This window comes from Homo sapiens, chromosome 10 (genome assembly GCF_000001405.40).
Source record: "Homo sapiens chromosome 10, GRCh38.p14 Primary Assembly".
Taxonomy (NCBI): domain Eukaryota; kingdom Metazoa; phylum Chordata; class Mammalia; order Primates; family Hominidae; genus Homo; species Homo sapiens.
The window spans coordinates 15526894-15554892 of NC_000010.11; the positions used below are offsets into that span (position 1 = coordinate 15526894).

At 42.3% G+C, this 27999-nt stretch overlaps 1 protein-coding gene across 2 annotated transcripts in view; it reads right to left on the reverse strand.

Annotated features, from left to right (window-relative positions):
* ITGA8 (integrin subunit alpha 8) overlaps window positions 1-27999 on the reverse strand; it is a 205969-nt gene that overhangs the window by 12940 nt on the left and 165030 nt on the right. For both annotated transcript variants that reach the window (NM_001291494.2, NM_003638.3), the window contains 2 exons: window positions 21562-21675; window positions 4157-4258 (listed from right to left, as the gene is read on the reverse strand). In NM_001291494.2, coding sequence (NP_001278423.1) covers window positions 4157-4258; window positions 21562-21675 — 216 coding nt within the window. The remainder of the gene's footprint in view (window positions 1-4156; window positions 4259-21561; window positions 21676-27999) is intronic.

Consider the following 27999-nt stretch of genomic DNA (forward strand, 5'->3'; position numbering starts at 1 on the left):
CATAAATAAACCTTTAATATGCCTACATTTTATTGTGGACATTTATGATATGTTTTTGTATATTTTCACAAAAAATACCAAGGTAGAAGGAAAAAGCTCCCTTGTATTTGCAATGGTAATTAATGTTGACGTCTCTATTTATGTATCACAAAATCTTGTGTAAACATACTTCAGTGGGGTCAGAAGAATGTTTTAAATAAACGTACCAAGACACCCTACCTACGGTGCCATTTAGAACAAAATAATAACATGAGGTGTACTAGCTGAGCCCACATTTTGACAACATTTAAACAGTTTCCTTATGAGACAAGCAGTTCCCATCATAAATTTCAACTCCAAATAATTGTTTAATATAAGAGTTCCATATTAAGGTATTAAGGTGCAGAAGTTTTGCTAACAATTCTGAAAACCAAATGGGTTCACAGTTTACATATGAGTTTTTAAATGAAGATTTTCATGAAATATTTTGTAATAACCACCTTTGGAATTACACAAGACACTCCCACTTTCTGCTAGATGTAAATTATAGAATTGAGTGTTACTTGTATGGCATGCAAAGGCGAAAGTTCCTTGGTGAGCCAAAAAAGTGTTCAAATAATTGAATTTCAGTTTCTTCTGTTGCACTGTAACGATTCAGTGTTCAGGCATATTTCTTCGAATCATGCAATCTTTCCCTTGTCTCCGGACATGACAAGCATCACAGGACATGAGGAATTTTATTTGTTACAAACACAGATACTATGCAAGCAGCAAACGGGAATTGTGATTCTCTTCCATAAGTAAAGCTAATACGGGCCTCAAGAGATGGCTGAATTATGACCGTGTTGAAAAGGGAGTACAAACAAACTAATCATCACACAAAAGGGTCTAGGAAAACAAGCAAATAGTAGTCTCATTATAGAAGAAGGAACAAAGAATGACTTTCCTCAGGGGCAGATTAGAGCTCTGATGCTTCTCCAACTACCATTTCCAATGGATTCTACCACCTTAAAGCAATTCCCTTTCGGCTGGGCTTTTTTTTTTTTTTTTTTTTTTTTTTTGAGACAGGTTCTTGCTCTGTTGCCCAGGCTGGAGTGCAGTGGCGTGATCTCGGCTCACTGCAACCTCCGCCTCTCAGGCTCAAGCAATCCTCCTGCCTCAGCCTCCTGAGTAGCTGGGACTACAGGCGAGCATCACCACGCCTTGCTAATTTTATGCTTTTTGTTGTTGTTGTTTGTTTGTTTGTAGAGGCAGAGTCTCACTATGTTGCCTAGGCTAATCTCAAACTCCTGAGCTGAAGCAATCTGCCTGCCTTGGCCTCCCAAAGTGCTGGGATTACAGGTGTGAGCCGCCCTCTTGGCCCTGCTGGGCTCCCTTCAAGAGAAGAATGGCAAAGCCTTTGAAAAGAGCTCACTATAAAAAAATGTCTGCCAGCTCCACTCAGAGTTCTTCTCTCACATCAAGCCACAGTAAGGCAGCATTTCCCTGTGTGCTGCATAGCTAACTTTGCACTGGCAAGGTCTTCTCCAGTTAGTCAGATATTGGGAGACTTGAAATTGTTTCCATTCCTGGATCTTTTCCCAATAACCTTCACATAACTGATGTGGTAAATCACCTACATCAGATAAAAAGTCTTTTTTTTTTTTTTTTTTGGCAATTCAATAACAGGGGTGGCAGGGCTGGGGAAAGCATGTATCGGATTATTTTGTGGATCTTTTGAGATGAGTTGAGAACAGCAGGCTGTCACCTGTGGCCAGTGCAGAAAGATGCAATCCTGTGGATGGAACCAACCGTAACATGTGTTTCTGCTAGGGAGCACGTGCTTGGAAAAAACAAAAGGGCCCAGATTTATTTCCCTTAGAGCTATAAGCCTTTGAACATTTTTAGATGAAACTTCTATATTAAAATCCCAAAGCCTCTGTTTTCTAGGTTGAACATAAATCCAAAACACAGAGGACATCACTGGAAAGAAAAAGAGGTGGTCTAAATGAAGAAAGATGTGGCTGTGCTTGCTTTAAATACCACCGAAGTTTACTGAAATATTTTAACTGTGCACATCTATCTTTCTTCTCCCTTCCTTCCTTCCTTTCCTTCCTTCTTTCTTTCCTTCTTTCTTTCCTTCCTTCTTCCCTTCCCCTTCCTTCCTCCCTGTCTCCCTCCCTTCCTTTCTCCTTCCTTCCTTCCTTTCTTCCTTTCTTCCTTTCTTCCTTTCTTTCTTCCCTTCTTCCTTCCTTTCTTGAGACGAGGTCTCGCCCAGGTTGAGTGCAGTGCATGCGATCATAGCTCACTGTAACCTTGAACTCCAGGGCTCAAGTGATCCTCCCACAACTGTGCAAATCTTAATTGTCACTTTCAATTTGCACTTACTGGACTTAGCCAGAGAAGGGGAGACATTTTGAGAGGCTACTCTCATTTATTGAGATTTGACACTAACTTGTTCCAGGTACAATGCTAGAGCTTTATACAGATAATCTTATTGATCTTGTTAACAATTCCATCAGGTGGATGTGGTGGACTGTCTCAGAGAGGTAAAGTGACTTCCCAAAGGTTTCCTAATTAGAGCAAGGCAGAGCCAGGATCAAACCCAGGTGACTCTATCTTGAAAACCTTGGATTTTCCTCTAGGCCACCTGCCTGTGCTAGAAGCTCTCAACCCTGGCTCCCCTGCAGAATTGTCTCTCATAAGACTTTTAAAGCACAGTGTCAGGGTCCCACCCCAGACCTACTGAATATTTGGGGAGAAGTCTTAGCATGTATGTATTTTTAAGTTGCATGAGTGATGATTCTGATGCATACTCAGGGTAGAGAAACACAAATCAAGTGGTTAATTTAGATCACTGAAAGTAGACCAGGCTAGAAAGATTCAGTGTTACAATTAAGTTTATGATCTAGGCTAGAAAGAGATGACAATATTATCAACTTATCTACCATCCAAAGCAGTGCTTCTCAAACTTGACCATGCCTAGGAATGCTCTGATGATTTTGATAAAATGCAGAGCCTGGCTCAGCAGATCTGGAGAGGTCTGTTTCTGTAGTTCTAAGAACCTCCCAGATGATGCTGATGCCATTGATCTGCAATCACATTTTGAGTAACAAGGTCTGGGGGACCAAGAGTTCAAGCTGTGGATGGGAAATATCCACTGGCTACCAAGGGATGAAGGTGGAATCCTAATATTGTTTTTTGGAGCACTATGCTTTTCAAAAGTCTCTGACCACCTTCACAAATAACTGAAAAGGCAGAGTTTTGGTGATGGTGCCTGCTGGTCTCATCATTCATTCCTTTATCCCCTTTGCATGGCCTTGCCAGGTTGCAGAGGATGATCAGAGTTGTTCTGTGATAGATGTTTGGGTGTCAGTAATGTTTAGTAGTTTCAGTTTTTAATAAAGACATTTCAGCTGGGCGCAGTGGCTTATGCCTGTAATCCCAGCACTTTCGGAGGCTGAGGCGGGCGGATCACAAGTTCAGGAGTTCGAGATCAGCCTGGCCAACATGGTGAAACCCTGTCTCTATGAAAAATACAAAAATTAGCTGGGCGTGGTGGCAGGCACCTGTAGTCCTAGCTACTCGGGAGGCTGAGGCAGAAGAATTGCTTGAACCTCGGAGGCAACGGTTGCAGTGAGCTGAGATCGTGCCCCTGCACTCCAACCTGGGCGACAGAGCGAGACTCTCAAAAAAAAAAAAAAAAAAAAAAGACATTTCATTCAGTTGAAGCTCAGAGTAGACTTTTTTATTCCCTTCTAGGTCAAAATGAAGGTTCTTTGCATAGCAAGAAAAAATGACTGTCCAAAGCCATGCGGCTGCTCCGTAGCCTACTATCCCTAAGAAAGAATTTCTTCCCTTCTTACTTGACTAACCATGCTGTTTAAAATGAAAGAATCAGTACGATTTCATTGTAATGATAACTGCTATCTGAATTCCTCTGAATAAAATGTCTTCATTTAAAAATGGTATTAGTCCTGCCCTGTAATTTTCTGGGGTAGACATTTATATTGAAAGTTCAAAAACCAGATCAAAAGGCACTAGGAAATTACCAGACCAATGTAAGAAATTGGTGAGCTGAAGAGGAAAATTTTTCTCAAGTCAATGTAAACACTAAAGCCTAGCACAAGCTAGACAGTGATTAAAACAATTATTTCAATTAAATTATTTGTGCCTATATATATTTAAAGATACTCACTACTATGCTTCCTTCTGGGAGTTTTGCTGGCTGATCTGTATAAGGCATCTTCTTAACTTCAAAGGACACCAGGGATGCAAGAGCATAGGGATCATTTTTTCTCTGAAAGTAAAAGTATTTATTTAAATATATTTCATATAAAGTTTTTAAGAGTTATACTGGCAGCCACCTAATTATTTTTGGTGTTTTGCATTTCAAGGCAAAATTTCCTCCTTCCTTTTTAATTTTCTCTCTTTTAACTTTTTTTTCCTCCCACCCAAGCATTCATCCATCCACCCACACATCCATGCATCCATGCATCCATCCATCTAAGCGTCGAAGCGTGAATCCATCTATCCAAGCATCCATCTATCCAAGCATCCATCTATCCATCCATTTATCTTCTTCCTATTTCTAAGGAGAATTTATCTCATTAATAAAAGACTGTGTATAATAAGGTTAAAATAAAAACAGAAAATCAGAGTCCTAAAAAGGAGCAAGCAAAGAATTTATATAGTTACTGCTAGTGAAGGACAAAGGAGAAACATAATGGGTGACAAAATTCTTATCAGATGGACGGAAATATTTTAGGAGAGAAACTGGCAGTAAGTTATAAAGAAATGTATTGGCTGGGCGCAGTGGCTCATGCCTGTAATCCCAGCACTTTGGGAGGCCGAGGCCGGTGGATCCCCTGAGGTCAGGAGTTTGAGACCATCCTGGCCAACATGGTGAAACCCTGTCTCTACTAAAAACCAGAAAAAAAAAAAATAGCTTGGCATAGTGGCAAGCGCCTGTAATCCCAGCTATTCAGGAGGATGAGGCAGCAGAATCGCTTGAACCTGGGGGGCGCAGGTTGCAGTGAGCTGAGAGCACGCCACTGCGCTCCGACCTGGGCAACAGGATCAAAACTCTGTCTCAAAAAGAAAAAAAAATCGTAGTATATTTCACAGATTACACAAGACTCACAACAGGGTTTCTTGGCCTAAGCACTGTCAGCATTCTGAGTTAGGGTGGGGGTGGGGGGGCCTGTCCTCTGCATTGTAGGATGTTTGGCCAGCATCCCTGGCCCCTGGCTAGATGCTAATAGCACCCTCCCTCAGTTGTGACAATCAAAGATGCCGGCCGGGCGTGGTGGAATCCCAGCACTTTCGGAGGCCAAGGTGGGCAGATCACCAGGTTAGGAGTTCAAGACCAGCCTGACCAGGATGGTGAAACCCTGTCTCTACTAAAAATACAAAAAATTAGCTGGGCATGGTGGCGGGTCCCTATAATCCCAGCTACTCAGGAGGCTGAGGCGGGAGAGTTGCTTGAACCTGGGAGGCGGAGGTTGCAGTGAGCCGAGATCGTGCCACTGCCCTCCAGCCTGCGCAACCGAGTGAGACTCCCTCTCAAAAAAAAAAAAAAAAAAAAAAAAAAAAGCCTCTAGTTACAGCCAGTTGTCCCCAGGGGAACAAAATCACCCCAGTTAAGAACCACTGACCTAGAGCCAAACAGTGTTTTTAACAGAGCTTCTCAGTGAAAGCTCTGTTTGTTTAATAGGGTCTCATATTAACTGTTGATAAAAGTCAATGTTAAAATATTTAAGAGTGACTCAGGAAGGCTGCTTGGAGAACTGAAGCTTCTGTGGCTCTCTTTTGTTGGATACAATGGTTCGATCTACCCAGTGCTGGGTCCTAACTGGCTCATCATGGCTCTTGAGACCCAAGTGTTAATCATTTCAAGACTTTTGGGTGCCGGTTGTTAAACAGAGCCATTATTACAACTTAAATTATATAAATGTAAACTTAAGTAAATTATATTTCTAAAAAAAAGGTAATAAATACTCAAAACCTCATGCTTGCTATTTTATTACATTTGACTATTATCTGTGCTCAGGATGTGATTTATGTCTACTGTATCTGTAAGAGGAAACACTACATAATGGTGTGGGACCTGGCATCTCTTCCCAGCTCTGTATTCCGTGACGATCATGGTGGTGGCTTGAAATCAGTGGCAAATGTTACGGATCGGGGCTCTTTTTCCTTCCCAGAAAGTAGTTAGTAAAAATCTACCAGTACATCACTGTCTATAATCCAATGTTGGGCCTCATGAGTCCAATAATTTTCCTTAAATATTTTTTACAAAGTTCTTTTTCCCCTGTGGCAGAATTTTTTTCTCCATTAGATAAACGCTTTTTTCCTCTACATGGTAAGGGCAGGACATAGTATGTAACTTTTATATACTTAAAGTTACAATATCTTTGAATGTTTCTTTCTACTCCTACCCTCCAGAATAAACAACTCTACTCATTTGGGAAAATTCCTTTTTGGATGTTATTCTAATGATCTCTTCTCTCTTAGCATTTCCATTTTAACTAAAAGTCGGAGTTTTGTTTGTTTGAGAAGGGTTTTTATACAATTCGGAAACTTTTGCTCATAAAATCATGTGTGTACCTGGTGATTTCAATCTAATTTCCTTGCTATCCTCACTGATAGAAACAAGAGAAACTCTAGTAATGAGATCTTGTGGGTAAGGATTATAATTATATTCTCAAATGCGTTTCCATGCTCCCAAACCTCCAATGAAGAAGTTTTCTTTTATCTCCAAGTTCAATAAAAAATTGATAGAAAATATTACTGTTCTTGAAGTCATGTCTTTGATAAATAGTTTGAAAACTGCATCTCTGCATCAAAATCTTTCTAGATGGAACGCTTTTCTCTTACAGATTCTGCATTTATAAATGCGAAAGTTTCCTAATGCATCATAGACAGCATTTGAACTCTAGGATGTAGAATGTGGATTAATATGTTTCTCTAAGGGAACTTTCTTTCACTTCCTTCCTTTGCCCTTCCTGCTGTTGGCTGCAGTTTGATTTCTCATATTTTCCATTCATCACATCACCAATCTTTTTTTTTTTGAGACAGAGTCTCATTCTGTTGCCCAGGCTAGAGTGCAATGGTGTGATCTCGGCTCACTGCAACCTCCACCTCCCGGGTTCAAGTGATTCTCCTGCCTCAGCCTCCCAAGTAGCTGGGACTACAGGCAAGTACCACCATGCTTGGCTAATTTTTGTATTTTTTTTAGTAGAGTCAGGGTATCTCCATGTTGGCCAGGCTGGTCTTGAACTCCTGACCTCAAGTGATCCTCCTGCCTCAGCCTCCCAAAGTGCTGGCATCACAGGCGTGTGCCACCATGCCCAGCCTCATCACCAATCTTGACTGCCGTTTCTGGTGGTTGCTGAACTTCAGACATATCTGAGATCAGTCTCAGAGATTCTGATTCAGTGAGACTGAGATGAGACTGTATCTGACATATTTTTTGGAAGGTTCACATTGTTGTTTAATTTTTAATTTTTCTCTATTACTTTTCTCCCCAACTATATGATACAAAGATGCAAGGCATATTCCTTGGAATATAATGTCTATATCTTCTACAGAACCTAGAACAATGTGCACAGGAGAGCTTGCTTAATCAATACTGGATCTCTGACCACATGAATGAAGGGTGAATGAACACATCTAATGCTTTGGTCATTTGACGACCCTCCCACTCCATGTACCATCCATTTGATGGCAATTATGAAAGATCTTTCCATTATTGAATTGGACACCCTTTCCTTTCTCCCTTTAATTAGAGTAAGCAATTCAGGAAGTTGTAAAAGGTGATAGTGATATAAGATGAGGGCTACAGTTCCTTTGAAGGGGATATTGATAAGCTCTCACCTCCTCAATCTAATTGGTGTGTGCCTGGACGTAGCCTGGGGTGCTAGCAAATAATAGTGAGAGGTGACAGCATGCTGGCAGCCCTCACAGCCCTGGCTCGCTCTCGGCGCCTCCTCTGCCTGGGCTCCAACTTTGGCGGCACTTGAGGAGCCCTTCAGCCCGCGGCTGCACTGTGGGAGCCCCTTCCTGGGCTGGCCGAGGCCGGAGCCGGCTCCCTCAGCTTGCCGGGAGGTGTGGAGGGAGAGGCACGGGGGGAGAGGCGCAGGCGGGAACCTGGGCTGCGTGCGGTGCTTGCGGGCCAGTGTGAGTTCCGCGGGTGAGTGTGGGCTATGAGGGGCTTAGCACCCGGGCCAGCGGCTGCGGTAGGTGTGCTGGGTCCCCCAGCAGTGCCGGCCCACCGGTGCTGTGCTGGATTTCTCCCTGGGCCTTAGCTGCCTCCCCCAGGGGCAGGGCTCGGGACCTGCAGCCCGCCATGCCTGAGCCTCCCCCCACCCTCCGTGGGCTCCTGTGCAGCCCGAGCCTCCCTGACGCGCACCGCCCCCTGCTCCACGGTACCCAGTCCCATCAACCACCCAAGGGCTGAGGAGTGTGGGCACAGGGCACGGGACTGGCAGGCAGCTCCACCTGCGGCGCCGGTGCGGGATCCACTAGGCGAAGCCAGCTGGGCTCCTGACTGGTAGGGACTTGGAGAACCTTTATGTCTAGCTAGGGGATTGTAAATACACCAATCGGCACTGTGTATGTAGCTCAAGGTTTGTAAACACACCAATCAGCACCCTGTGTCTAGCTCAGGGTTTGTGAATGCACCAATCCACACTCTGTATCTAGCTTCTCTGGTGGGGACTTGGAGAACCTTTATGTCCACACTCTGTATCTAGCTAATCTAGTGGAGACGTGGAGAACCTTTGTGACTAGCTCAGGGATTGTAAACGCACCAATCAGCACCCTGTCAAAACAGACCACTGGGCTCTCTGTAAAATGGACCAATCAGCAGGATGTGGGTGGGGCCAGATAAGAGAATAAAAGCAGGCTGCCTGGGACAGCAGTGGCAACCTGCTGGGGTCCCCTTCCACACTGTGGCAGGTTTGTTCTTTTGCTGTTTGCAATAAATCTTGCTGCTGCTCCCTCTTTGGGTCCACGCTGCCTTTATGAGCTGTAACACTCACCTCGAAGGTCTGCAGCTTCACTCCTGAAGCCAACCAGACCACAAACCCACCGGGAGGAACGAATAACTCCGCGCTGCCTTAAGAGCTGTTAACATTCACCGAGAAGGTCCGCAGCTTCACTCCTGAGCCAGCGAGACCACGAACCCACCAGAAGGAAGAAACTCTGAACACATCCGAACATCAGAAGGAACAAACTCTGGACACGCTGCCTTTAAGAACTGTAACACTCATCGCGAGGGTCTGCGGCTTCGTTCTTGAAGTCGGTGAGACCAAGAACCCACCAATTCCGGGCACAGTAAGATAAGCAAACAGCCTGTAACACCACCTCTCCTAGATCAATCTGTTTTTTGTTTTGAACGCATTCTTCAAAAGTAAGGTTTCTTCCACCCTTGTTGGAAGGAAAAAAAAATGCATCTTCACTTTTAAAGAATGCTCTGGAGCTCCAAGGAATGGAAAACGTGGTTTATTAGACTGATCAGCAGAGTCAGCATCAAAGATACCCAAGTTCTGCGTTGTAGATCAGAGGCATGGCACAGGTGAGTATTTAATAACTCATGGAAAGCAATTACGGGCAGAGGTGTAATAGTGATTCCACATCCAAAGTTAAATGCTTCCAGTTGTGCTCTTTATGTAACAATAGTATTATTCTTATGTTCAATATAACCTCTCTCCCATATAGCAATCTACTCATGTAATAGCAATCACTGCCACATTGTAGGCAATTTAGGATTGAAAACCCAGCTGGGGTTAATATCCCTTGGCAACAATGAGGACCTTCGTCTTGCCCCAGCTGGCTATTAATCCCCAGAAAATGCCTTGCTCGTCTGTCATTACCGCATCATTTAAACCATGGTTTGTAGCTCACTGGCTGTCTCTATCATGCACTTTTGCACAATGATTTGCTTATAGGCATGGTACCAATAAAAGTGAGTTGGTAACAAACGGAGGAGTTAGCGACCTAGTGTGTCAGGCAATGACACAAGCTCTCCCACTCCCAACTTCCAGCTGCTTAATTCCTTCCCAATAATTATTTTAAAGCACATATCCATTTTATGTAGCCCGTTTTGAAATATTCAATATTTACCAGAAACCAAGCCTTTTGAGGTGACAAAACCTAAGGAATTAGTGGCAAAACTTTCACCTGTAAAGGAAATTTCTATTTCAAGCAACAATCACAGAATAGGGGACCATTTAGGATTAACCTACATACAATCTGTTTCTGACCAGTTTGCATGTTCGTTACATGGACAGAAACCAACATAACGCAACAAGTCATATCCACCAAGAATTGTAAACTTTCTAGCCTGGATTAGGAGGGCAGAAAACGTTTCCCTCTTCCTGGTTTGTATGACAAAACTGTTAATAGGCCCCAATGTACAGTGTATTCTTAGATTATAATAACGCATTCCTCTTTAGGATTTGGCACCTGACACTGAAATAAGCAGAAACTGTGGCAGTGCAGAAATTTGGGCTAAGGATGTGGGTGAGCACACAGCGAATTGTACCCGTCTTTCCCATATCTCTGGAAGTGATGCTTTTCCCTAGGACTTCAAAATGTTGCTACAGATTCTTCTTTTCTGACTCTACTTGCACTAAATATTTATTGTTTCCAAAGCCACTCAATTACTATTGACTTTTTGCAGACACCGGGTCTTCTTTAACAGGGAAACGAAGATGTAACTTTCACTCAATCAGCCTCCTACCGGAATAGAATGTCGTGTATGGAACTGAAGTGTGTGGGCTAAAATAGTAACTTTCCCCTACACTCTAGTGTCATAATGATAGGAGTCCTGCCTCATTGAAAAGTTGTTCTCCCTCTTTTTGGTAGGACGTGATGCTCAAAAGTAACAGGAGGAATGTGTTGTTGTCATTTAGGTTGTATAGACTTGGGAATTCGTTAAGGCACCTCTCTTCCAACTCTTGGATAAAAAGTAACAATTGGCTGGGCACAGTGTCTCATGCCTGTAATCCCGGTGCCTTGGAAGGCCAAGGCAAGAGGATCACTTGAACCCAGCAGTTTGAGACAAGCCTGGGTAGCACAGTGAGACTTCATCTCTACAAAAAACAAAACAAAACAAAAAAAAAACACAAAAATTAGCCAGGTCTGGTGGCATGGGTCTGTAGTCCCAGACAATCAGAAGGCTGAGGTGGGAGGAACCTGGAAGTTTGAGGCTGCAATGAGATGTGATTGCACCACTGCACTTCAACAGAGTAAGACCCTGTTTCTAAGAAAACAATAAAAAGCAACAGCCAATCAATAGAGTGATCATAAGCAAATCAACTAAATGCAAGTGGTTCAGTCATCCTGGGTATTCAGTTAAAAAGTTCTATAGTTGGCCAGGTGCAGTGGCTCATGCCTGTAATCCTAACACTTTGGGAGGCCAAGGCAGGTGGATCACCTGAGGTCAGGAGTTCAAGACCAGCCTGGCCAACATGGTGAAACTCCGTCTCTACTAAAATACAAAAATCAGCTGGGCATGATGGCGGGTGCCTGTAATCCCAGCTACTTGGGAGGCTGAGACGGGAGAATCGCTTGAACCCGGGAGACGATGGTTGCAGTGAGCTGAGATCATGCCACTGTACTCCAGCCTGGGCGGCTGAGTGAGACTCCGTCTCGAAAAAAAAAAAAAAAAAAACTATAGTTAAGAAAATTGGCGTTCTATGGAAGCCTATGTCACTTTAGAAAAGCAGAATCTAATTTGAAAAGGCCAGTGAACATTGTGCACATGGTACCCTAAAACTTAAAGTATAATAATAATAATAAAAAAGAAAATGTTCAAGTTTATGACAAATTGTTAAGGTGTTAAAATGACATCATTTTTGTTCAGTCTAAAGAAGTGCTTTTAATTTAGTTTAGTGCTAATAAATGCATGCCAACAAAATAATTAAATGATAAAAAGACTCAGATGACAATTTATCATGAGGAGGCTAACACTTGGATTCTCTGAATTATTAAACTTAGAATTAGGTTTTCTTTGAACTCAGGACAACTTGTATTTGAAGTTCCAAATTTTATGAAAGACCCTTCAAGAAACCACCTGACATTTTCAGGTAAAGGTTTTTTTTTTTTTTTTTTTTTTTTTTAACGTTTCCTTAGAAGACAAGGGAATGGACAGACTGGTTATAAACTATACAAAGATCTATGTGTAGCATTTCTGGAAGATATGTTGTATGCAAATATATAGGATATTTTGCAAAGCTGCTTTGGGGTGTGTGCTTGCTTCTTCCATTTCAACTACAGAATAGAGGGAAGCTTGCCTCTCACTTCCTCAAAGTGAGAAGGAGTTCGTGACTGGCTCTGATCATGGAACCTACCTCAAACGAGGCAACAGAATTCTGATTGAATGTCACTAAGGGTCTCTAGTCTCTGTCTCAGTAGATGAAATAAAAGGTATCAAAACACCTCATCCCTTTGAATCTGTCTCCTGGTTGTGTCCAAGGAGCATGGTGAGTTGCAGCCAACATTATTCATCACCATGACTCTTCCCCAGGTTAAGTCTAGATAAATTATGTCAGCATTGTGGGTTGAGGCCTTGCACTACTCAGACATTTGACACTATCTCCCCTTTGGAAGTGGACCAGAAGCTGAGCCAGTATGACCCAATACTGCGGGTCATTATTTTGGGCAGGAAATAAAAGAACAATCATGACTCTTTGGACTTGTCTCTGTTCCCTGAGATCCTGAATTGTCTGCCTTATGGAACTGAAAAGAATCAAATTAGGGTGTGGCTCAAAGAGGAAAGGCAGCCTAATTCTTATTTATTTTTACTGATATCTATTAGCTGCATGCATTTTGGAGGTACATGTGATATTTTGTTACCTGTATGCAATGTGTAATGATCAACTCAGGGCAATTGGGGTATCTGTCACCTCAAACATTTGTCTTTTCTTTGCATTGGGAACATTACTGATATGATTTGGCTGTGTCCCCACCCAAATCTCACCTTGAATTGTAATAATCCCCAGTGTCAAGGGTGGGGCCGGGTGGAGATAATTGAATCACAGGGTGATTTCTCCCCTACTGTTCTTGTTGTAAGTCTCATGAGATCTGATGGTTTTATAAATGGGAGTTCCCCTGCACATGCTCTCTTGCCGCCATGTAAGACATGCTTTTGCTTCTCCTTTGCCTTCTGCTATGATTGTGAGGCCTCCCCAGCCATGTGGAACTGTGAGTCAATTAAACATCTTTCCTTTGTAAATTACCCAGTCTCAGGTATGTTTTCATTAGCAGCATGAAAACATACTAATACAATTACAAATCTTCCTTCTAGCTACTTTGAAATAGACAATAAATTATTGTTAACTATAATCTCCCCACTGTACTACTGACTATCAGAACTTATTCCTTCTGACCGTATTTTTGTACCCTTTAACCAACCTCTTTTCATCCCTGTTCCCCACCTTCCCTTCCCAGCCTCTGGTAATGATGAATCTGCTCTCTGCCTCCATGAGATCCACCCTTTTAGCTCCCACATAGGAGTGAGAACATGTGATATTTGTCTTTCTGTGCCTGGCTTATTTCACTTAACATAGCCTCCAGTTCCATCCATGTTCTCTCCTCAGTTTGGAAGCCTTCTCATCTCAACCTGGAGGGTTTCAGTTTGAAAGATGTAAGAAAATGAGATGCTCGCCTCTGCCCAAAATGCAAGAAGTCTTTGCTAAACTCACTAAATCAGAACAGCTTGTGGCTTGAGGGAGGATAAGGTGCAAGTATTTGGGAGGAAAGCCAAATGTCGTAACAAACATGAGCCCAAGCTCCTCATGGAAGATTCTTCTGGTGAATGGGCTGGCTGGGCACAGATGTCAGCATAGGTGCATTCTTGGCTGTACCTGTGCTTTTGAGGTATGGGACTGACAGGACTTGTTTTCTGGTCACAACCCTGATGACTAAAACAAGACCTGGTATAGACAGGATGAAGGGAAGAAACTGGCTGAAGGCAGCCAGTAGCTACTAAAGCAATCCCTAGCTGCCTTCATTGCTCATCAGCATAAGACACTCCCGCCAGCACCATGACAGTTTACAAATGCCATGGCAACAGCCCAGAAGTTATTGCCCATTTCCATGGCAACGACCTGGAAGTTATTGCCCCTTTGCTAGAGAGTTCTGAATAACTTGCCCTTCAATTTGCATTCACCCACCCCTTAAGTTGCATATAATTGAACATGGGTATAAGTGGATATAAAGAGAGTTGCCAAGAGCCCAGCAAGTCCAGCTCTGTGTGTGCTGCCTAGGAGTTAGCCCTGCTCCTCAGGCAGCAGGTCCAGTTCAATAAAAGGCTGTTGGAGATTGTGACTTTCCTTACATCCTCTCATAAAGAATGAACCCCTTTTTGCCACAAGCAGTGTCACCTGTCACCTGAAAAGGCAACATAGGGTTGCTTGAATTCTTTTCTGAATGAAGCCAAGAATGCTCATGGGCTAAGCCCCAATTTTGGGGTTCACCTGCCCTGCATCACTTTGGCATCTCAAACGAAGCCATCAAGGTGGTATTTCCAGAGACCCCAGAGAAAGGCATCAAAAATCACTTCTTGTTCACTTTGTTCAAAGGTATCACAAGTTTTTACATTTCTAGAATATCTGCTGCTTCCTGAGCTACTCGCCTTAGGCCATGAGGGATAATTTGTTGTGATCTCATTTGTTGGTTAGTTTTGACTGGTTTCATTTTAAATAGACAAGGACTTGTGTACCAGCCAAGCCTAACATTTGGCCTGAGATGTTTCATTCATTAAAGCATTATGAGTAGTATCCTGTGTCAGGTGATACAAGGGCTGGGAAGAAGATTCAAAGACAAGAAAACATTCCTCCTGCTCTTGAGGAGCTTACCCTCTGATGTCAACTACAGATATATTTTTGGGAAGATTCCTCCACTTTCCCTCCCAAAACAACTTCCTAACACAACCTCACAAGTTTTTTTTTTTTTCATTACATATGGCAGAATTTCAATATTTTATTCACTTAGCAAATATGAATCCAAAAGTTTACTTGCATGGTTCCTGCTTATATCTAAGCTTTGAATTAAAGCCAGTACATTCGGCCCCTTGGTCTACATATCACCTCGTTTTGCTGTCTTTGCTCACTAGTCAGGAGGGCGAGCAGGAGGCTGTTGTGTTTATTCAAACCTGTAACATCACACTTAGGGAAAAATAGATTCCTGATAGAGATTTTGCCTTTTAAGGTGGCCAATGACACTGTTATGGGGCAAAGGGGGCCTAATTCTTACTTTACGAGGGGATATAAGGAAAGTCACAAAGCTATTATTAAACACAGTCCAGGTCTATAATCATAGATACAATAATTGATTGTATGATCGAATCTTGCAATTTTGAATGGAAATATGCTTCCCTAACATTTTAAAACAGTGCTGCTGCATAGAACTTTCTTCAATAGAGAAATGCTCTTAATCTGCACAGACCAATGCAGGAGCCATGAGCTGTGACTCTTAAATACTTAAGATGTGACTGGTGAGACTGGGGAAATGAATTTTAAACTTTAGTCAAATTGAAATACTTTAAATAGCCACACATGACTATTACTACTGTATTGGACAGTATAATTCAAGAATCATAAGATGTTTTCTTTATTGGATTCTGAAATAGCATGCTATACAATTTAAATATCTTGAAAAATTTTAATACACAGTATTTAAAACCTTTATATAGTAGTTATAGTATAGTTATCCATAATTTAAGAGTTATAGTTTAGCTATCCGTAATACAGTGATCAAAATATAAAATCCACAGAGGCTGTTATAGTAATCTTTAGTTCAGCAGTCTAGTGTAGTAACATACATAGGGTAAAAGCTCAAGATTCTCCCCCTTACTATCTATGTGACTCGGGAAGGCCATATAATATCTATGTCTCAGTTTGCTCATCTGTAAAATGCAGCTGACAATAATAATACATGTCCCACAGGATTGCTGTAAGAATTAAATGAGTCATTCATATACAAGCATGTATCATGGTGCTTAGCTACATGGCGATCACTCAATAGTAATCTGACTATTTGCAGACAAACATCCCTCTTTGGAAAGATTGGCAGGCTGTTCCTTAAGCGTAAAGAGCCATTTAGATGTAGTCTGTCTCGGTCAACCAAAACATCAACACAATAAAAAAGTAGGCTATTAAGAGCATACAGAGTTATTGCTGGCTTACACCAAGTAGAATAAACACCATAAATTACTTGTGAGCTACCTATAGAATCAGTGAATTTTCAGGCATGAAAGGAGACTTTAGTCAAATCTCTTCATTTTACAAATAGGGAATTTGAGCCCCATGAAAGTTAAGTGCTTTGAACACAACCAGGCAGGAATGGAACTGAGCTCCTGCATCCTGACCCAGTATCTACCAGAGACAGAGAAAATAGACTCTGTCTAATGTTAGTCAGGGGCATATCTCCTAGAACTTGAATTTAATGTATGTCTGTAGTTTTTTGCACATCACTTTGCTAATAGGCAGTTTTCACATATGAAATTCAAAAATATGCTCACCCCTGTGTTTACTCACACACTTTTGCCAATATTTACCCAAACTGCAAGAGCATCTGCACTGCATCTCCAGCCCCACTCAAGCCTTCAGATGACTTCAGCCCCAACTGTTCTGGTTCAAAATGTTGCCCATTTAGTGATAATGTCTAAGAGTAGATGGAAAATGTATGCAGTGAACAGAGTCATAACAAAACCAATTTAAACCCTAATTAATTGCTTTCTTCTCATATTAGTAAGGTTGGTGAAGTAGTTTAAGGAGCATATTTACTAGATTAAAGAAATTGGTGCAATACTGTAGCAAAATAGAGTCAGGCTTTGTTAGTGGGGATGGAAGATTATTGATTTTAGAGGGTTGAATAATGTCTTACCCAAATTCATGTTCACTTAGAATCTCGTAATATGACCTTATTTGGAATAATGGTCTTTGCAGAATTAATTAAGGTAAGGTTTGAGATGAGACTGTACTGGGATTAGGGTGGGCTCTAAATCCAGTGAGCGTCCTTATAAGAAACAGAAGACACAGGGACACAGAGACACAGAGGGAAAGGTGATGGGAGATGGAAGGAGAGTAGAGTGATGGTCTACAAGCCACTGAATGCCCAGGATTACTGGCAACCATCAGAAGCTAGGAGGGGCCAGGCCTGGTGGTTCATGCGGCTAAGCCCAGTGCTTTGGGAGGCCAAGGCAGGAGGATCACTGGAAGCCAGGAGTTTGAGACCAGCCTAAGCAACATAGCAAGATATAATCTCTATAAAAAATAATTAAAAACTGAGCCTGGCATGGTGCCAGGCACCTGTAGTCCCAGCTACTCAGGAAGCTGAGGTGGGAGGGTTGTCTGAGTCCAGGAGTTCAAGGCTGCAGTGAGTTATGACTGCACCACTTCACTCCAGCTTGGATGACATAGTGAGACCCTGTCTCTACCAAAAAAAAACAAAACAAAACAACAACAACAACAAAACCAAAACCCCATAAAAACAAATAACTTGAAGGGAGGCAGGGGGTAGTTTATTCCTCAGAGCCTCCAGGAGGAACCAACCCTGCTGACACGTTGGTTTCAGACTTCTGGTTTTGGACTTTGAGAGAATAAATTTCTGTTGTTTTAAGCCACTTAGTTTGTGGTCCTTTGTTGCATCAGCCCCAAGAAATGAATCTATTGATCACAACAATATAGCTTACTCCCAGCTTTCATCTGACTAGAGAAAAACAGGATTTACAGTTTATGCTTTCAGACAAATTGCATCTAAAAGTAGGAAATTCAAGAGTTGGCTAACGATCTGTGGTAGCAACCCTCCAAGATGGCCACCAGGGATTCTTCCCTCCTGGTATTCACACCCTTGTGTGGGTGCCTCGCCTACTGAATGAATATGACTGATATGTGCAAATGATAGGGCATTGTGGAAATAACAGAAAGTGGCTTCCTAGGCTAGGTCAGAAAATATGTAAGAGCCTTGGCATCTCCTGGCTTACTTGCCTGAGGGAAGCTAGTCGCCATGTTAGGAGATCGCTCAAGCAGCACTGTGGAGAGGGCCACGTGGTAAGGCCTGCTGTGCATGTCTCTGAGCCATGTTGTGAACAGAGCCTCCAGCCCCTCAAGCCTTCAGATGACTACAGCCCCAACTGACATCTCAGCTGTAACCTCAGGAGAGACACTGAACCAGAATCACCCAGCTAAACCATAGCCAGATTCCTGACTCAGAGTGACAGGATGAATGTCTACGGTTTTAAGCTGCTAGGTTTTGGGGAAATTTGTTATGCACCAATAGATAACTAATACAGGGTTCAGAACAGAACTCTTGGTTTCCTCTCCTGAAACAGTGTTCCCCCAAGTCTTCCTCACCATTTGGCTTAGGCAAAAAACCTTGGAGTCCATCTTGATTCTTCTCTTTTTCTCATCCTCTAACAATAAATTCAACCAGTACTGTTAGTTTTTCCTCCAAAATCAATCCAGACTCATACCTTGTTCCACTTGCTCCACTGTTTTGCCCTAGATTAATCCACCACCATTTCCCTCTGGACTATTGCAGTAGCTTCCAAACCCAGTGCTTTCAATATTGCCCTTTCAAAGCTGTTTTATTAGATGCTGAGTAAACATAAATCATTTATAACACATGATGATAAAGAAGCCAAGATGAATATCCACATGCCTACCGCTGACTTTAATGAACCATTACAAGTACCTTTGAAACATTCTCTTCGTTTCTTGCTAAATGTCTTCTACCCTAAGAGGCTACTACTCTCCTGAATTTGTACTTTCATTTCCTTGTTTTCCTTTAAAGTTTTACCAACCTACTGCTTAGTTTGCCTGTTTTTTTTTTTAGCTTTTTATAAATGGAATCATAATTGACTTTAAAATTCAGTATTGTGTGCCTGAGATTCATCCATGCCAATGTGTCTAATTCATTCCTTTTTATTACTGTGTAGTATTGCTTTGTTAGAGTATGTATTAATTTATTTATTTACTTGTGTTCTTTAAAAAACGTAATTATTATCACATCACTCCTTAGGTTAATTTTGTAGTGGTCCATTGCACTTAGGCTAAAATCAGGCTCCCATCCATGGTATGTAATTCCTGTAATTTCTGTCTCATCAGTGGTGATACTGACACACTGGTCTCCATTTGTTCCTCAAACATGTCTAAAGTGTTCTGGCCTCAGGGCCTTTGCACAGCTCGTTGTATTCTGTCTGGGGCTCTGCCTACAGGTCTTTGCGTGACTCAGGTCTCAGTTCCATGGCACCTCCTCCTAGGCCTCTCCTGTGCCCATCCTACCTGCAGAAGCAGCCGCACTCCCTACTATTTATCCCACTGCCCTGATCTCCCTACACCATTCTACTTTCTTCCCGGCACTGATGCATCTGTTTGCCTGCTCAGTTTCTGATTCCCTCCACTGAGATAACAGCCCTGTGAAGGCAGGTGCTATGTCTGTTGTGTTCACAGCTATTTCTCCTATAACTAGACCCTGAAGCAGCCCTTGGCACACAGTAGGTCCTCCCTACATATTTGTTGAGTGAATGAATATGTAAAGGTTTGATTTTTTAAAAAGTCAAATAAATTGGGCACTGTACTTCTCCTTAGGTCAGTGGTTCAAAATGGGATGATGTTGTCCCCTGAGGACATTGGCAATATCTGGAGAGAATTTTGGTTGTCACACCTGGGGTGAGGGTGCTACCAGCACCTACTAGGTAGAGGTCAGGGGTGCTGCTAAGTATCCTATAATGCCCAGGGTGGCTCCCAGCAACACAGCGCGATCTGGTCTAAAACGTTAATAGTGCAGAGATTGAGAAACTCTGCCTTAGGAGAAAGGAAGGAAAGGAAGGAAAGAAAGAAAATAAAGTAAGAAAGGAAGGAAGGAAGATGAAAGAAAGAAAAGGAAGAAAAGAGAGAGAAAGAAAAGAGACACAGAAAAAGCAATGAAAAAATAAAGAAAGGAAAGAAGGAAGGGAAGAAAGGGAGGGAAGGAAAGGGAAGGGAAATGAGGGGAAGGGAAATGAAGGGAAGGGAAGGGAAAGGAAGAAAGGAAGATGGCTTCACAATGACCTTTAAAACAAAACTTTAATTTCCCTCGTTTTTATTTTAAAAACAAAAATAAGATTGACGAGACTGTAGAAGCATATTAAATCATAGAAAACATAAAAATCTAGGGATAAAAAAATTCTATATTTATAACTAGACTCAAAGGGATTTGACCCTTTGATTTTTCATGGCACAATAAACCAAATGAGTTTGTTTAGTAGTTAAAATGTGAGCAAGAATGTGTAGACGTGGTAAGAGTTAATTTAGGATTAAAAAAAAAATTCCTCCCCAAACAATAAGGTTGTAACACAGCAGTATCATTTAAATAGCGCTTTCCAAAATGAAACTCTCATTTTCTTAGCATAAAAGAGATTTTAAACTTTTAAAATGCCCATAGTCGGCCAGGAGCAATGGCTCATGCTTGTAATCCCAGCACTTTGGGAGACTGAAGCACGTGGATCAGTCGAGGCCAGGAGTTTGAGACCAGCCTGGCCAATGTGGCAAAACCCCATCTCTACTAAAAATACAAAAATTAGCTGGGCATGGTGGCCCACGCCTGTAGTCCCAGCTACTTGGGAGGCTGAGGCAGGAGAATTGCTTGAACCCAGGAGGCAGAGGTTGCAGTGAGTCAAGATCGCACTACTGCACTCCAGGCTGGGTAACAGAGCAAGACTCCATCTCAGAAAAGCAACAACAACAAAAAAAAGTGCACAAATCAATGGAATGATCCCTGGCTATTGTGGGATGCAGAGCCAACCACAGGAGTGGTGCATAATCTGTAAATCATACTCACGTACCTGGAACTTGGCTGAGGTGCTGTCCTGGTTGGAGCCCATGCTGCAGGACCACTTGACAAGAGGAACCTTCTAGAACAATCTCCCCTTTCCCTTCTAAATTGATTTCTATTTTAACTTCTCTGGACATATATATCTTGGATTATGTTCTCATACTCATCATGCTGCCACTGACTAATAGTTACTGTGCCCAACACTGGGTATATAACAGTGGACTAAGTACATTTTCTGATCTATTCTCAAGGTCTTAGGGACTCAGGATGTTTAAACTGTCTTTACCTGCTGGGAAAAATGACCAGTTCATCTTGTTCAACTCCTCCACATACATTTTATTTGAAGTAATTTTTTAAATTTGAAACTTTTACATTGAAAAATGTAAAAAAAATTTTTTTAAGTTTAAAATTCAAGTTTTAATTTTTTTTTTTGAGGCAGTGTCTCACTCTGTCACCCAGGCTGGAGTGCAGTGGCACAATCTTGGCTCACTGCAACCTCTATCTCCTGGGTTCAAGGGATTCTCATGCCTCAGTCTCCCAAGTAGCTGGGACCACTGGTGTTCACCACCAAGACCAGCTAATTTTTCTATTTTTAGTAGAGATGGGTTTTTTACCATGTAGGCCAGGCTTGTCTCGAGCTCCTGGCCTCAAGTAATCCATCTGCCTCGGACTTCCACAGTGTTAAATTAGAAATCGCTATGAAAAGACTTCCCACTGAGCTTTTGTGAAGCAGCTCCCAGTGAGCAGTGTGTATGTGCTTCTGTGGTTGTTTATTACCTGGAGGAAGGTGTGGGCCCATAATCGTGACCTGACTTTCAGGACTGCGCTTTCTCCTCCTTCGAGTCGTCCCACTGCACAGGAGATTTGTAAACACTCGATATTTGTACAATTCTGCAAACAGCAGTGGGAACACGTCAGAGTCTTTAAATCATGGTAGAGACTGAACACTGAAGTTAGCTTATTTACATTTCATTTCCTCAAAAGTCATCACCTTATGATAAATTATTAATGTAAATAAAGAACAATATATTGCAACAACCAAGAAAACACAGTTTAATGGCGAGGATGAATGGAACACAAAATGCAACATAAAATTTAAGCTCTTTTCGAACGACTTTAAGAGAATCTTTCTGCAGCAGCAATTTAATTGTTCTGTTTCATTTTCTCAGAACTGGGGAAGGCATTGCTTATAGATATTCACAATACCCAGTGCTGGGTTCAGCAAGTCTGGAAGGGGTTGCAGAGGAAGACTCTTGAGCCTATATTATCTCAAAGATCTACAGTTACTGACCGATTGACATACATTTGTTCCATAACGTTCTTCTGTCTAAATTATTTCCTGGTTATAAAGGAGGCTTTTCTGTGACTTTCATTCATTAGGCTATTTTTTAATAGGTTTCTAGAATTGCCCAGCGTATAATGAATAACCTTTAATATATGAAATGTGTGTTCCTCAAAAGGATTCATTATAATGACATTCTATCTATCAAATCAGATTTTCTTTCTTTTTTCTTTTCTTTTCTGTTTTTTTTTTTTTTTTTTTTTTTTTTGAGACAGAGTTTTGCTCTTCTTGCCCAGGCTGGAGTGCAATGGTGTGACCTCAGCTCACTGCAACCTCTGCTTTCTGGGTTCAAGTGATTCTCTTGCCTCAGCCTCCTGAGTAGCTGGGATTATAGGCACCCGCCATCATGCCTGGCTAATTTTTGTATTTTTAGTAGAGATGGGGTTTCACCATGTTGGCCAGGCTGGTCTCGCACTCCTGACCTCAGGTGATCCACCCGCCTCGGCCTCCCAAGGTGTTGGGATTACAGGCATGAACCACCATGCCTGGCCTCAAATCAGATTTTCTAATCAGATTCCAGCATGGAAATAAATGAACACATCATAATCCATTTTTTGTGTGCCATGCACAGAATGATACTTCTCTAATTGTACTCCATCATGGGTTTAAATTTATCTTGTGGCCCATGCGTATTCATTTTTCATATCTCAAGCCCTCAACATTGGCCTGTGAGTACTCAATAAAAATCAATGTATTGGATATTATGTGAAGTAGTTGACTGAGACATTTCACTTTAATGAAATTGATATAACACAGAATAATCCAAGGAACATATTACGACAAGAACCTTTTTCGAGAACATTTTTCAAGATCCTCAGAATTCTCTGCAAAGGGGTTAGTAATATATTGTCTGATAAATTGCGGTGAAGTTCATTTCCTACAGGATGCTTCCAAAGGCACGTGGGTGGACTGTCCTTGGGCTACTAGAGTTGGGTGCTGAGGTGCTGATGTTGTTTGGCTATGTCCCCACCCAAATCTCATCTTGAATTGTAGCTTCCATGACTCCCACATGTTGTGGGTGGGACCTGGTGAGGGATAACTGGATCATGGGGACGGTTTCCCACATACTGTTCTCATGGCAGTGAATAAGTCTCACGAGATCTGATGGCTTTATAAGGGGTTTCCTCTTTCGCTTGGCTCTCATTCTCTGCTTGCCTGCCACCATGTAAGATGTGCCTTCTGCCTTTCACCATGATTGTGAGGACTCCCTAGCCATGTGGAATCGTGAGCCCATTAAGCCTCTTTTTCTTTATAAATAACCCAGTCTCGGGTATGTCTTTATCAGCAGCGTGAAAATGGACCAATACAGGTACCCACAGCAGGAACAGGAATTCTCAAAACTCTGTGGTTTGTGGCCCTTTCAAGGACTCTCATGTTGACCTGTGCTTCACGGCTGACATGCTGTGTACCACTAACCCTGCCCTTCAGAGGGAAGAGGGGTGTCAAGGTCAGGAGTTGTAGACTCCTTGCAGATGGGGAACCCAGATAGCCAGCTCTGCTAGAGGATTCTGGAGAAGACAATGTTTGGAATGAGCCATGAAGGTATGAATGGGAGGTCACCTAGCAGAATGGGAGACCTGGCCCACGATTCTGTTGTACTAGACCAGGGCATGCTTGAGAAAGGGAAGAGCAGGGTATATGAGGGTGAAATGGACAGATGGAAGTAGGATAGCAATGAGAGAAAGTCTATATGAAGAGTCTTCCTATGCATGCTAAGGAGTTTAGATTTTATTCAGAAGGCACTGGAGAACCTGTGATGCTTTTATATCCAGGGGATATTGATCAGGTTTGTATTTTAGAGGGATGGGTAATATGAGAGGAAAGAGAAGAGAGAGGGAAGATTGGGGGGCAGGAGGGTGATAGGGGCCCGTTGCAAGAGCCCCTGGTGAGTGATGCTGAGGCCCTGAACTGAGGCAGTGGAAATGGAGAGAGGAAGATAAATTTTGGAGAAGTTTAGGAAATAGAATAGAGACATGATGACTACACAGAGGTTACATGGAGAATGCTCTTTGGAGAAGAATGGGGTGGATGGGTGCTGGTAACACTGAGACTGGGGATTCTAGAGAGGAGGTACATTTGAGAAGTCATGGAGACAAGGGTTTTGGGTATGCGAGGACGGGCGTGGCTCTCAGACACCCAGATCATGCCTTTAAGGCTTGAATTCAGTAAGGGAGGGCTGAGATGACAGGAGGCACTTAGGAATTACTGGAAATATGATCATGCAAAAAATTAAATGGATGAGAGAGAAGAGGAGGGGGCTGGGATGGAATCCTGGGGAACAGGGGCATTGAAAGGATGGGCAGAGAGAAATCTTAGATGAGAATTTCTAAGAAGAGACCATCCAAATGGCAGAAAGAGAACCAGGAGGGGATGTTTTCGGGGGAATTTCAGAAATGTGATAGTTTCAAGAAGTGGCCAATAGTATCAAATGCTGGAGAGGCATCAAGAAAGGCAAGGTGGCTGGAAGCTGGGCAATGAAACAGAAGACAGGAAAGTTTGGAGAGGAGGAGATGGAGGTGATAGCTACAGAAATAGCAGGGGCCCACTATGAGAAAGGGAAGGGTATTCTTAGGCGGAGGAGAAATTATTTTTCAGTGTTTTAGATACAAATTTTTCCTGTGCAAATTGGAAATTTTGATCCCAACACAGGATGTTGGCATTTTGCACTTTCAAATTCCTCATCAGAAATGGGATTCAGTAAGTTGTTTTTAACTAAACAAAAAACGTAGGAGGTCTTATTTCGCTTTTGATTTTAGAATAAACTTCGCATAATCACTTTCTATCCAGAGTTGTTTTGACTCCAGGACATAGGGGGTCATAAGATTTGCAATTTTTGAACCAGTAAGAGAGAAAGAGAGTAATATATGTGTTAACAAAACCAGATATGGAAATCAAGAACTGCCTTGGCCTTCATCTGAGAGTTTTTATGATATTCGGAAGTTTAAAATTATCTTACATCAACATTTAAAGAGAAACAATAGAAGGAAAAAAATGGACCCTGCAACGCAAATACATACAATTTTCAAAAAAAATTTCGTTATTGATCTCGACTGTCTCAGTGTACTAATGAGACATACCCTGAAGTGGAAATTAAAAAACATACTTGAACTTTGATTTTTCTTTCTTTTTTTTTTTGAGACAGAGTCTCGCTCCGTCTCCCAGGCTGGAGTGCAGTGGTGCCATCTCAGCGCACTACAAGCTCCGCCTCCCGGGTTCACGCCATTCTCCTGCCTCAGCCTCTGGAGTAGCTGGGACTACAGGCGTCCGCCACCAGGCCTGGCTTTTTCTTTTGTATTTTTAGTAGAGACGGGGTTTCACCATGTTAGCCAGGATGGTCTCAAATCTCCTGACCTCGTGATCCACCCGCCTCGGCCTCCCACAGTGCTGGGATTACAAGCATGAGACACTACACCCTGTCTAACTTTGATTTTTCAAATCATTAATACTGCATATGTTTGGACATTGGTTTTTCAGAGGGATTTTTCCCATTGGTACTGCATATTAGAATTCTGTAGATGTCTCTTTTTTATTATACTTTAAATTCTGGGATACATGTACAGAATGTGCAGGTTTGTTACATAGGTATACATGTGCCATGGTGGTTTGCTGCACCTATCAACCCGTCATCTACATTAGATATTCCTCCTAATGTTATCCCTCCCCTATCCCCTCACCCCCGGGCAGGCCCCGGTGTGTGATGTTCCCCTCCCTGTGTCCATGTGTTCTCACTGTTCAACTCCCACTTATGAGTGGGAACATGCAGTGTTTGGTTTTCTGTTCTCCGTGTTAGTTTGCTGAGAATGATATCAATTGTTTTCTGTTCTATTGTACACCATGGAAGCTTTTTAAAAATGATAACATGCAGAGCTTTATTAATTTATCCTAAAAGGAATAGTATATGGATTCCCTACTGTTATGTTTCTTAAACATTACAGTGTCATAAAAATTTACTTGAGGCTGGGTGCGGTGGCTCACACCTATAACCCCAGCACTTTGGGAGGACGAGGTGGGACGTTCACTTGAGGTCAGGAGTTTGAGACCAGCGTGGCCAATGTGGTGAAACCCCATCTCTTCCAAAAACACAAAAATTAGCCGGGCATGGTGGTGGGCACCTGTAGTTCCAGCTACTCAGGAGACTGAGGTGGGAGGATCACTTGAATCCGGGAGGCCGAGGTTACAGTAAGCTGAGATTGCACCACCGCACTCCAGCCTGGGCGACAGAACGAGACTCTATCTCAAGAAAAAAAAAATTTACTTGAATTACAATCTTCCAGTTGCCATAGTTTTTTTTTTTTTTTTTTGTCTTCAAAAAGTAACTTCAGCTACTTCTATCATAACAAATGCTTCATTTGACTTAAGTTTAACTGATTGAGATTTGCTCATTATATTTTTCTGTCCATTTCCATAGTTCAAACATTTTCTACTGTCAAGATGAAATAAATGAATGTCAAGGAGTGTTTAAGGCACACCTTTTAAAGCCATTTTAACCATTTTAAAGTGTGCAGTTTGGTGGCATTAAGTACGTTCACAATGTTGTACCACCATCACCTCCATCCAACTCCAAAGCTTTTTCATCATCCCAAAGTAAAACTCTTGAAAACTTCTGCATCGATGAGACACAGAACTAGGATTTGTTTACATGTCTTTTATCCTAATATCCTCTTTGAGGGCTCTTGGCTATGACTAAAAAAAGTTATCCAGCTGGGCATGGTGGCTCACACCTGTAATCCCAGCACTTTGGGAGGCTGAGGCAGGTGGATCAGCTGAGGTCAGGAGTTTGAGACCAGCCTGGCCAACATGCTGAAACCCTGTCTTTACAAAAAATTAGCCAGGTGTGGTGGCACGCACCTGTAATCCCAGCTACTCAGGAGGCTGAGGCAGGAGAATCACTTGAACCCAGGAGGCGGAGGTTGCAGTGAGCTGAGACGGCACCATTGCACTCTGGCCTGAGCACCAAGAGTGAAACTCTTGTCTCAAGAAAAAAAAAAAGTTATCCATATGATGGGTAACACATTTGGGATTTTCAGGAATATGATTAATTTAATATGGCGTTATCCTACTTTATTGGACTGAAATAAATTATTATCAGAGTTTTAAAATATTTTGTCATGCTTTTGTTTTTTAAAAATAGTTAATTCCAGGTAAATACAGGAGTGCAGGAATGGAAAGGAAGTTAATTTAGGACTTCCGCAGCTCCCTGCTTGCCACCCATTTGTTTTCCTTAAAAACTCATGAGCCTTCTCTGTATCATCTGATAACTCCGACCGGGACCCCCTGATGAATTGCCCTGAGTTCAGAACTGCAGGAGAGGCAGAGCCTATGGGGGGAGGGGCTGTTCATCTGGCTCCTTGTACCCTAAGTCTATGGATTACAAAAAATAATGCACTATTCTTTTGGGCTAGTGCCTCTCTGGCATGAAGCCATGGTCTCATGGCTGCCTCAGGGCTGCCCAGATCCACCCCTTGCATCATCCTTCCTGAGTCTTGTCTCCTGTATTGGAACTCTGTGTCTGTCCTCCCCACCATGTGTGCACCCACACACTTGCACATATGCACATGCACCCAGGTCCCACAGATGCCACTAAATTGGCTGAGAGAGTAGAAGACTATTTATACCCAGTGCATTTTCCACTTTAGTTGAAGGGTCAACTGATTGTTAACATTCCCTCCTACTGTCATTACATTTTATCTTTGCAAATCCTTTCTTTCTTTCTTTCTTTCTTTCTTTCTTTTTTTTTTAATGAAGAAAAGAGGTTTAATTGACTCACAGTTCCACAGGCTGTACAGGAAGCATGACTGGGAGGCCTCAGGAAACTTACAAGCATGGGGAAAGGGTGAAGGAAAAGCAAAAACCTTTTTTGCAAGGCAGAGAGG